The following is a 12,244-nucleotide window of genomic DNA, read 5'->3' on the forward strand; positions in this document are numbered from 1 at the left end:
ATGTGGCTATGTACATTTAATTTTTAATAATTTAAATAAAAAATTCAGTTCCCTAGTTTCCTTAGCTACATTTCAAGTACTGTATTCAGTAACCACATGCAGCTACTGGGTACCCTATTAAACAGCACAGAAAAGACCAGTATCCATCACTCCAGAAAGTTATATAGATGGGTTTGCTCTAGGGAAATGTAACTTTATATATCTGCCATTTATTAGGGCCCAGACCACATTAGATCATGTGGCATGTAGAATGACAGCACGCCAAAGACATCCATGTCCTAATCCCTAGAAACTGTGACTATGTAGGTTACATGGCAAAGGGAAATGAATGTTGCAGTTGGAATTAGGTTTGCTAATCAGGTATCCTTAGAATAAAGAGATTATTCTGGCTTATTTCAATAGGCCCTATGTAATCACAAGAATCCTTAAATGTGGCTGGGGGCAGTGGCTTACGCCTGTAATCCCAACACTTTGGGAGGCCGAGGCGGGCGGATCACGAGGTCAGGAGATCGAGACCATCCTGGCTAATGTGGTGAAACCCCGTCTCTACTAAAAATACAAAAAATTAGCCAGGCATGGGGGCGGGTGCCTGTAGTCCCAGCTACTTGGAAGGCTGAGGCAAGAGAATGGCGTGAACCCGGGAGGCGGAGCTTGCAGTGAGCTGAGATTGTGCCACTGCACTCCAGCCTGGGCAACAGAGCGAGACTCCATCTCAAATAAAAAAGAATCCTTAAATGTGGAAAAGGGAGGCAGGAGAGTTGGTGTTAGAGTAGCTGGCTTTAAAGATGTCAGGGGCCCAAGCCAAGGAACGCAGGCAGTCTCTGGAAGCTGGCGAAGGTGATGAAACACATTCTCATCTAGAGTCTCCGAGTAGAATGCAGCCCTGCTGACACCTTGATTTTAGCCCAGTGAGACCCACTTTGGAATTCTGACCTTCAGAACTGTAAGATAATCAATTCGTGTTGTTTTATGCCACCAGGTTTAGGATAATTTGTTGTAGCTGTAATAGGAAATAATACAGGTGTTAACTTGCAAAACATTGATAAATTACAAAGAATTGCTGTATAGTTGAAAAGAAATCCCCCAAGGTTTCAGTTTTATTGCCCTTAGGACATTAACCAGTTTTGTTTTGTTGTTTATTTGGGTTTTTTTCCCCCTAATCTGCAATCTTATTCTGATGTTCTTTCTTCCATATTGGTTTCTCACATCTTCCTTTGAACTTGCTTTATTACACTCGCTCCCTCATTGACTATATCTTTGAAATCTGCTCACTACATATTGTATAGGAGTCACTATATATTGTACAGCTTTAAGGTCACAAGTGGTTTTTGGTTCCATGAGTGAATCGTATAGTGGTGAAGTCTGAAACTTTAGTGTACCCATCACCCAAACAGTGTACATTGTACCTAATAGGTAGTTTTTCATCCATCACCCCTCTCCCACACTCCCTCCTTGGTTTATATGCTTAAAGTTAGATGCTGACATGCAACCAACAAAGGAAAAACAAACAAACACAGGACTCTAAGGTTCTTCCGTATGTAAGAAGAGCCTACATAATTTATACAGCGATTAACCTGATGAAATAGTTTATTTACAATTTAAATGAATAAATTTCATATTCTACAACACATATAATCTATTGACTAAATGTAACTAATGATGAACCTCCATACAAACAACCCCACTAAAAAGTGGGCAAAGGACATAAACAGACACTTTTCAAAAGACATACAAGTGGCCAAAAAGCATATGAAAAACAGCTCAATATCACTGATTAGAGAAATGCAAATCGAAACCACAATGAGATACCATCTCACACCAGTCAGAATAGCTATTATTAAAAACTCAAAAAATAACAGCTGCTGGCAAGGTTGCAGAAAAAAGGGAATGCTTACACACTCTTGGTGGGAGTGTAAATTAGTTCAACCATTGTGGAAAGCAGAGTGGCGATTCCTCAAAGAGCTAAAAACAGAACTACCATTTGACCCAGCAATCCCATTACATTCCCAAAGGAATATAAATCATTCTACCATAAAGATACATGCACACAAATATTCACTGCAGCACTATTCACAATAGCAAAGACATGGAATCAACCTAATACCTGATATGGTCTGGCTTTGTGTCCCCACCCACATCTCATCTCAAATTGTAATCCCCACGTGTTGGAAGAGGGGCCTGGTGGGAGGTAATTGGATCATGGGGTAGATTTCCCTCTTGCTGTTCTGTTGATAGTGAATTCTCATGAGATCTGGTTGTTTGAAAGTGTGTAGCACCTCCCCCTTTGTGCTATCTCTCTCCTGCTGCCATGTAAGATGTGCCTTGCTTCCCCTTTGCCTTCTGCCATGATTGTAAATTTCCTGTGGCCTCCTAGCCATGCTTCCTATACAGCCTACAGCACTGTAAGTTAATTAAACCTCTTTTCTTCATAAATTACCCAATCTCAGGTAGTTCTTTATAGTAGTATGAGAACAGACTAATACAATTCCCATCAATGAGAAACTGAATAAGAAACTGTGGTATATATACACCATGGAATACTATGCAGCAATAAAAAAAGAACAAGATCATGTCTTTTGCAGGAACATGAAGGGAGATGGAGGCCATTATCCTTAGCAAACTAATGCAGGAAGAGAAAACCAAATACTGCATGTTCTCACTTATAAGTGGGAGCTAAATGATGAGAACTCATGGACACAAATAGGGGAACAATAGACACTGGGGCCTACTTGAGGGTGGAGGATTGGAAAAGGGAGAGAATCAGAAAAAATAACTATTAGGTACTAGGCGTAGCGCCTGGATGACAAAATAACCTGTACAACAAAGCCCTATGATATGAGTTTACCTATATAACAAACCTGCACATGGACCCCCTCAACCTAAAATAAAAGTTGAAAAACATACAAACAACAAAGACCACAAAATAAAAAGTGTTGGCCAGGACATGGAGAAATTGGAACACTTGTGTACTGCTGATGGGAATGTAAAATGGTACAGCTGCAGTGGAAAACAGTATGGTAGTTCCTCAAAAATCAAAAATTAGATTGCCCAATGATTCAGCAACTCCATTTCTTTTTTCTTTTTCTTTTCTTTTTTTTTTTTTTTTTTTTTGCCCCAGGATGAAGTCTTATTCTGTGGCCCAGGCTGGAGTGCAATGGCACAATCTTGGCTCACTGCAACCTCAACCTCCCAGGTTCAAGCAATTCTCCTACCTCAGCCTCCCAAGTAGCTGGGATTACAGGCACATGCCACCATGCCTGGCTAATTTTTGTATTTTTAGTAAAAACAGGATTTCATCATGTTGGCCAGGCTGGTCTCAAACTCCTAACCTCTTGATCTGCCTGCCTCAGCCCCCGAAAGTGCTGGGATTACAGGCATGAGCCACCATGCCTGGCCGGCAATTCCACTTCTTTTATGTTTATAGCAAAAGAATGGAAAGCAAGGTCTCAATAAGATATTTATATACCCATGTTCACAGTAGCATTTTTCACAATAGCTAAAACGTGGAAGCAACCCAAGTGTCCATCAATGAAGGAATGGATAAGGAAAATGTGGTATATATTATACAAATAATAGCCTTCCAAAGGAAGGAAATTCTGACACAAGCTACAACATAGATGAACCTTGAGGAACCTTGAGGAACCTTGCTAAATGAAATAAGCCAGTCACAAAAAGACAAATACTGTATGATTCCACTTATATGAAAACCTTAAAGTAGTAAAATCAGAGAGACAGAAAACGGAATAGTGGTTGCCAAGCATGTGGGGAAGGAGAATCAGAGTTATTGTTTAACGGGTGTAAGATTTGTTTTGCAAGATGAAAAGAGCTACAGAGATAGATGGTGGTGATAGTTGTACATTATAAATATATTTAATAACACTGAACTGTACATTTAAAAATGGTTAAAATGGTAAAGTTTAGGTTATGTATGTTTACCACAATAAAAAAATTTGAAAAAAAAATGATAAACTTCTTTCTTTTCCTTTTTTTTCCTTTTAGTAAATATAACAAGAACAGAGCCTGTACCGATTTAGTTAAGACCTTTTTCCATTTCTTTGGTTTCTTTGTTCCTTGTGCTCAAGAATTTGTTGGAATGTAAATGTCCTCCAAGCTTATCCAGATAAGTATAATGAAAATATATTCCTCCCAAGGCCTTTCAAACACCATTGTTACCAATAGTTTATTTATATTTTTATCCAAAAAGTAAATAAATCAAAGTTTGGGAGCTCATTTTTCAATCTCCACAAGTTGCTCATAATCCACAAAAATTGAGGAAATACACACACACACACACACACACACACACACACAATCCAATCCTCTTCTCCTTGGCCCTAATGCTCTTCTTCCCACTCCTAAATTATCTATCCCTAGAAGAAGCAAGAGTAGATCTATCAGAACCACTTAAGGAGCTTTTTCAAAATTCCCACATCCTGCTTCCCACCCCTACCCTATCCTGATATACCACCCAAAGAGGCAATGCCAGAATCTGGGTACTGTTTTGTTTTGGGGGGTTTTTTGGAACAGGGTCTTACTTTGTCACCCAGGCTGGAGTGCACTGGCACCACCATAGCTCACTGCAGCCTCAAACTCCTGGGCTCAAGCAACCCTTCTGCCTCAGCCTCCTGTGTAACTAGGATTACAGGTGCACACCACCATGCCCAGCTGATTTTTTTTATTTTTAGTAGAGATGGAGTTTCACCATGTTGCCCATGCTGGTCTTGAACTCTTGACCTCAGGTGATCCTCCTGCCTTGGCCTCCCAACCTCTGGGATTACAGGTGTGAGCCACTGTACCTGGCCTAATCTGGGTAGCTCAAGAATCCATAGAGGGAAGAGAAAGAAAAGCAAGTATACAAAAAGCAGGTTGTTGGAGGGTTATATTGACTTGGTTGAAATGGAATCCAACAGGGTCTTATCCTCCAGCTCACCAATGCTTCCCTTCCCCAGAGTAATTTTTCTATAATATTGACAGTCTGCTGGTATCATATAGATAATCTCTAGTGGTCTCCACTACTGACCAGATTGTCACACAGTGATCTCAGGCAATTAGGCAATTGATGAACACAGCAATTGGCAGGTCCTCTTCATAAATATCCACAGCCCCCACTAAAAGTTAGAGATAAGTCAAACATCTCACATGACAGATTCACTCTGAATGGACACAACAGACTGACGGCAGAATCATCTAGCCCTCTGGGAGGAGAGTACTGAGAACCAATAGCAATCCACACCTGAAGGCTGCTGCCAGCATCGCTTGCTGGATTCCTCCACCTTCCTCGGATGAGGTTCATAGAGCAAGTGTAAAGTCTCTAACCAACCACGTATCTTATTTCTAACATCCACTATACCAAGGAACAAAACCTTAAAATGGACTCTTGGAAAATTAGTTGAAATGTGTAGGTAACCAATTTTGAAGTGTGGATTCATGATTTGGATTCATCAAATGCTAATTAACTACACCTAGAGTGCAAGTTGATGCTACCTAGGGTGTAGAAAAAAGTTACCTTATGTTTAAATATATCATATAGTTTACACTAAATTTCTTAAGCATTTTAAAGTGAATTACCACATAGAAAGCAGAACATAGGTGAAGACCAAACTCCTTAGGATGGGCTCTTAGCCCTTCTCAAGCTAACCCCCTCTTCATCTTTGCCATCCCTGTCCCAACATACACATACACAGATACACATACACCCTACACCACACACAGCAAGCTGCTCCCTGCTCTAGAATGTGACAGCTACATTTCAGGCTGCTCCACATGCTGCTCCTACCTCCCTCTTCCCCATCTGACCAACCTCTTCTCTTCTGCCAAGACCTACCTCAAATGCTTCCTATTCCAAATCTTTTGGGAACCCCTTCCTTCTCAGCCCTGTGGAGTTGGTCACTCCCTTTTCCATATTCTAATAGCACCTTGTATGATACATTCGTGGTGGTATTGTACCATGTCCCTCACTGGACAGTGCATGTCACAAGCACCATGACTATCTTTGGGCCTCCATTACAGCACACCAGGCACATAAGGAAAAGCAGAGTCCTTCCTAAAGAGTTCTCACCAAAAGCGTTTCTCAAAGGCAATTAAATCTGTTGCTTGTACATTGTTCTTCCTAGGCAAGAAATTCTTAAAATTTCTGAAGTCATGAAACCCCAATGTTCTTAATGGTATTTTATAGCCCTTTTTACCTGGTGATACGGTTTGGATGTTTCTCGCCTCCCAAATCTCATGTTGAATGTATTTCCCAATGTTGGTGGGAGGTGATTGGATCGTGGAGGCGGATCCCTCATGAGTGCTTTAGCACCAACACTTTGGTAATAAGTAAGTTCTCACTCTGAATTCCCGTGAGATCTGGTTGTTTAAAAGTGTGTGGCACCTCCCACCTCACTCACACTTGCTCCCACTCTCACTATGTGATGTCCCTGCTCCCACTTCACTTTCTGCCATGATTGTAAATTTCCCAAAGCCCTCACCTGAAAGCAAATGCTCGTGCCACACTGGCACAGCCTGCAGAACCATAAGCCAATTAAACCTCTTTTCTTTATAAATTACGCAGCCTCAGGTATTTCTTCTTCTTCTTCTTTTTTTTTTCTGAAACAGAGTCTCACTCTGTTGCCCAGGCTGGAGTGCAGTGGCGTGATCTCAGCTCACTGCAACCTCTACCTCCTGGATTCAAGCGATTCTTCTGCCTCAGCCTCCCCAGTAGCTGGAAATATAGGTGCGTGTCACCACGCCTGGCTAATTTTTTGTATTTTCAATAGAGACAGGGTTTCACCGTGTTAGCCAGGATGGTCTCCATCTCCTGACCTCATGATCCGCCTGCCTTTGCCTCCCGAAGTGCTGGGATTACAGGCCTGAGCCACCGCACCAGCCTCAGGTATTTCTTTATAGAAACACAAGAACGGCCTAACACGCTTAGGTTCTGAAAGTTCTTCGTGGCATTTAGGTATTGAAAAATGTGAGTTGAATTCAAAGCACAGGTATAGAGAACTAACAGAGAATTTCATTTCAGCACTTACTATAACTAGTCACCTAGTGCTAAGGATCTCTGTGCTGGGCAAGCCTTATTGTATAAAGTTCTCTGATGCTAAAGCCTTCTATACTGGTTAAGTTCTGGAAAATGAAACTGCTTTTTTAAAGAAAACTAATTTTATCCCAGAAAGATCTGGGAAATCTTCCAAGACTGCTTTTTAAGAGTAGGACCTGAAATGTATCATTAGAAAAAAGGTTCCACTTTTTCTTATCAGATAAATTGACATTAAGTTTACTTAATGGTAGTCCATGGCCTTGTTCTGGAAGACTAATAATCATCAATTCTATCTATAGTTAGCTTGCTTTGAAAGCAAGGCAGCCTTACTTTCTCACAAAGTTTCTGTGAAGAATTATAAAATGCATGTGAAAATATTTTGTAAACAGTAACATCCTCTATAAATTTAAGGTCTACTGTGACCACTCTATTACTACTAATAGTAGTACATACCAAGTAATAGCAGTAGTACTACTAATAATAGCAATAAGGCAGTGATTAAGTTCTATTTAGTTTAGTTGCTTTTTCATCTTAAATAAAAACTTTCCATCAGCTGGGCGCGGCAGCTCACACCTGTAATCCCAGCACTTTGGGAGGCTGAGGCCGGCGGATCACTTGAAGTCAGGAGTTTGAGACCAGCCTGGCCAACATGGTGAAACCCCGTCTCTACTAAAAATACAAAAATTAGCCAGGGGTGGTGGCACGCACCTGTAATCCCAGCTACTCAGGAGGCTGAGGCAGGAGAATCGCTTGCACCCGGGAGGCGGAGGTTGCAGTGAGTGAAGATCGCACCACTGCACTCCAGCCTGGGCAACAGAGAGAGACTCCGTCTCAAAAAAAAAAAAAAAAAAATTCCATCGCACTGAGGCTCCCAAAAAATGAAATGTAGGTTTTAAAAAAGACATCAAAGAAAGATGGCCATCTAAATATGCCAAGGAAACCGTTATGCATTGGAGATAATTTTCCAACACAGAGATGTTTGGATCTGGCGTCCTTAGTAACATTTCTTTTTTTTTTTTTTTGAGACGGAGTCTCACTCTGTCGCCCAGACTGGAGTGCAGTGGCGGGATCTCGGCTCACTGCAAGCTCTGCCTCCCGGGTTCACACCATTCTCCTGCCTCAGCCTCCTGAGTAGCTGGGACTACAGGCGCCCGCCACCACGCCCGGTTAATTTGTATTTTTAGTAGAGACGGGGTTTCACCGTGTTAGCCAGGATGGTCTCGATCTCCTGACCTCGTGATCCGCCCGCCTCGGCCTCCCAAAGTGCTGGGATTACAGGCGTGAGCCACCACGTCCGGCCTCTTAGTAACATTTCTTAATCTTCAGTTCTGCAGTAATATTCTAGGAGATATGAACTATTAATAATAAGCAGTAAACAGTTTTTTCTAAACAATCCTATAGCTAACATACCACATGCCATTACACTGTTCTCTTGTTGGTTTTTATTTTGCTTCGTTTTAATGAATGTCTTGAATGCTATATAACTTAGAATGCACATATTTAAATCACCCCAAATATCACTTATTTGGCAACTCACTTCAAACTATATTCTGAACAAGCACTTTACAGGAGCAAAGAGTTTTCACCTTAACCTGTCATTATTCTGATGTTAAGAGGGGAGAGAGAGAAACAGAAAATGCATGTATGCCAAATTTCTTGAATCCCTAAGCTTCCCAATTATTTCGGCCTATTCAAAAATCGAGTCCAGGTGTGGTGGCTCACGCCTATAAATCCCAACATTTTGAGAGGCAGAGGTGGGAGGATTGCTAAAGCCCATGAGTTGGAGGTCATTCTGGGCAACATAACCAGATCCTGTCTCTATTAAAAAAAAAAAAAAAACTAAAATCTAAATAATAGAGTGTGTTTGCTAAAAGAGGGTATTTATTTAACAAATATTACTAAAATGTTAATGTAACTAAGCAATGCTTTTTATCTTGATTATGTCAAATATTATTAATAATTATAACTATTAAAATAATTCTATGAAGAAGTAAAAGAAATGGTATATATGAGATATGTAGCAAGTGAATGATATTTAACACATTTTTTACCTAAAATGAAATTATTTAAAAGCTCATTGTACCTCAAAGCTTTTTCACTGTAAAAATTTTGTGGAGCCTATGAAAATACTTCTGGCCACACATACATACATAAATATATGCATACATATATAGGTGTGTGTAACTAGAAGTATTTCATATACATATGCTACAATATTTAAGCCAGGTTCATAGGATGTTCTATAAGCTTCTACAAGACTCAAAGCATAGGAATAAATACTTCCCCCAGCTCATTTTCCAAGGGCAACAATGTGCTTTTCAAAACAGGCCCTTGATATTCTTCTAGTTGTTAGGAATAAAAACCTATTGTCACTTGCTTTTAAAAAAGAAACACTTAGGTATCCATTCCCATCAATGAAGTTAAAAGCAGTAGCACATTCACATGTTGCACTTAGCACCTTTCTTTTTAAGTAGTTCAAAATTTTTAAATCCAAAAGTACTAAGGGGGATTCACAGCAATGGCAGAGTGAAGAAATCAGCATATCCTTTTTCCCAAAACAACCATAAAACTGGGCAAGGCTAGGCGTGATGATTCACACCTATAATCTCAGCACTTTGGGAGGCTGAGGCGGGAGGCTCACCTAAGGCCAGGAGTTTGAGACCAGCCTGGGCCACAAAGCAAAACCCCATCATCACCAAAAAAAAAAAAAAAAAATTAGCAGACTCAGTGGCTCATGCCTGTAGCCCAATTACAAAGAAGGAATGTGTTCACATCCATGACTAAGAAAGGCTTATGGGAAAAAAGCAGTAGTTGAGATAAGGCTTGAAACAATAGTGGGATTTTGACAGTGGAAAATGAGGGAAGGACATCTCAAGAAAGGTCAAGACAAGATGTGTCCTGTCTGACCAAAGCATAGAGTTCAATTGTTTGGAACCTTTTCCTACCATAATACAATTCACAAACAACGTTTCCCCTGCTAGCTGCACGGTGCCTATTCCCATGGGTGCACCCAAAAGCAGAGAAAAGATAAGTGGCAAGGTGTGGTCTGTAATCCCAACACTTCAGGAGGCCAAGGTGGGAGGATTATTTGAGGCCAGGAGTTCAGGAAAACCTTTAATCCACTTTACATTTTAAAGAAAATAATCTGCTTACTTTAATATCATTTTTAGTCAAAAATCATTTGCTACATACCCCACAATGATGGTAATAACAGGTTAAGAACCACAAATGTGATGGGAAGTAAAGGTGAAAAACATTGGTCAGAGCTATCCCTGAGTATAAACAGAGGCATTTAAACAGTGAAGAGAAATGATTCAGCTTGCAGTTGAGAAGATTGCTCTGGAAATGTTGAGAAAGGGGATAGTACAGTTAGGAAGTTATTGCAAAAGTCCCATTTAGTTAGGGGTAATAGATGCCTAAATCAAGATGGTACTGGGGAAAGATGATACAATTTTAAAACGTGGCAAAAATAGAAGATAAGCTTTGTGAGGCCATAGGCGTAACATGTCACTATCTCTACTGGTCTCTAGCTGAATAAATATTTGTTGAATGAATAAATAAGATCTTGGTGGTAAGGCGGTGCATTATAATGGTGAAGCCAGACTGCTTGGGTTCAACTGGACCTCTTCCACTTACTAGCGCTATGATCTTAGACAAGTTACCTGACCTCGATGCCTCGGCTTTTCCATCTGTAAAATGGGACTAATAATAGTGTCTAGATTACAGGGTAGTTTTCAGGATGAAATGGGGTTACTACATAAAGTGCATAGAAGAGGGCCTGATACATATAGGGACATATTAGTTATCATTTTTATTTGTGAAACGTTGTCCTTTAACAGAACTTCAGATGTGAAAAATACAGTTCTGGGGGAAGAGCAATTGACAGCACTGACAGTGTTAAATTAGCCATGAAGTGAAGATGCCAGATAGTGTGGACTGGGGCCTTGGGAGAAAGGAAGGGGCTAGACACTTAGAGATCAGACTCCAGCCACTTCCCTCTGCTCCCCACAGCCCTCCCAATCACACTAGCTTCTTGCAGTTCCTCCAACAGATGCAGTTTGTTTCCTGCCTCCTTCCCACTGCTGTTGCCTCAACTTGGAAGGGCATAGAGCCTGGATTTAACAAATATTTGCTTAATGATTCAGTAGATGATCTTGGAACTCTTTTAAGTGGAGTAAATGTTAAATCCTTGAGAATGTATGAGACTGCCATAGAAGAAAGTATCCAGAAAGAAAAGGTATCAGTACAGAAAAGAAGAGTCAGAAAATACCGTGCAAAGGCACATTCAGAACGTAACCAGGATAGCTGGAGCCAGGATTCAAGGAGAGAGGTAGGTAACATTCAATGCTCAGAGGAGGCAAACAGGGTGAAGAATAAAACACTGGGTTTGGCAATAATTTCAGGAACGAACGCTGAGAAAGTCATTTTTCCATGAAGTTGCGGGGGGGTGGGGTAGAGGTCAGATAGTTAATTAGGGAAAAGAAGTCAACAAACTATTTTATCAAAAGGTTTAGGGAAGAGAAGCCACTCTCCTCCTACCAGAGAGTGAGGAAGCAACTGGAGAGAAGTAAACTACTGTACAGTGAATAAAAACATGGGGCTACATCCTAGAGGCGCTGTGCATCTTTATCTGCACAGAGTTTTGTCACGTCCACAGTGCTTTTCACACGCACTATCTAATCTGATCGTACCCCAGCTCCCTGATGATATAGCCTCTAACTGAGGGGTTCTCAAGGTGCGGACCAGCAGCAGCATCACAGATAACTTGTTGGAAATGCACATTCATGGGTTCCACACCAGGCCTACAGAATGAGAAACTACGGGTGGGGCCCAGCAGTCTGTTATAACAAGTCCTCCAAGGGATTCTGATGCTCTCCAAGTCCCCATAGCCACCACACTCGGGAGACAACCGCTGCAGCGCGCAGGGACCGCGGTTGGAGGACAGAATTTCCCCTTCTCAATCTTCGGCCTGTGTCCTCTTCGCTCTTAAGGGAGGTAGTGAACAATGAGACAGCCCCTCAGAGAAAAGTCGCCAGGCAGGGGACTCAGCTGGAGCGAACTCCGCCCATCCCGGCCAGGGCGGAGGCGAGGTGCGGATTCCTTCCCCAAACCACGCCCCCATGCCCGCCCCCAGCCTCCGCCCCCGCACGACCCGAGGGCCCCCCGCCCTCGGGCTTCGACTTCCGGTGCTGGAGGAGGGGGCCGGCGGCGAGGGACTCC

At 41.6% G+C, this 12,244-nt stretch overlaps 1 long non-coding RNA gene across 1 annotated transcript in view, besides 2 other annotated features; it reads right to left on the minus strand.

Annotated features, from left to right (window-relative positions):
• BZW1-AS1 (BZW1 antisense RNA 1) overlaps positions 1-12,244 on the minus strand; it is a 31,676-nt gene that overhangs the window by 18,849 nt on the left and 583 nt on the right. The gene's annotated exons all lie outside the window — the stretch shown is intronic.
• Positions 11,781-12,040: an enhancer, noted in NCBI's record as "active region_16962". NCBI's record gives its function as "activates an Ori minimal core promoter by ATAC-STARR-seq in GM12878 lymphoblastoid cells {active_cell/tissue: GM12878}" and the evidence as "EXISTENCE:reporter gene assay evidence [ECO:0000049][PMID:35858748]".
• Positions 12,091-12,240: a silencer, noted in NCBI's record as "silent region_12227". NCBI's record gives its function as "represses an Ori minimal core promoter by ATAC-STARR-seq in GM12878 lymphoblastoid cells {active_cell/tissue: GM12878}" and the evidence as "EXISTENCE:reporter gene assay evidence [ECO:0000049][PMID:35858748]".

Source organism: Homo sapiens, chromosome 2, assembly GCF_000001405.40.
Source record: "Homo sapiens chromosome 2, GRCh38.p14 Primary Assembly".
In the NCBI taxonomy this organism is placed as follows: domain Eukaryota; kingdom Metazoa; phylum Chordata; class Mammalia; order Primates; family Hominidae; genus Homo; species Homo sapiens.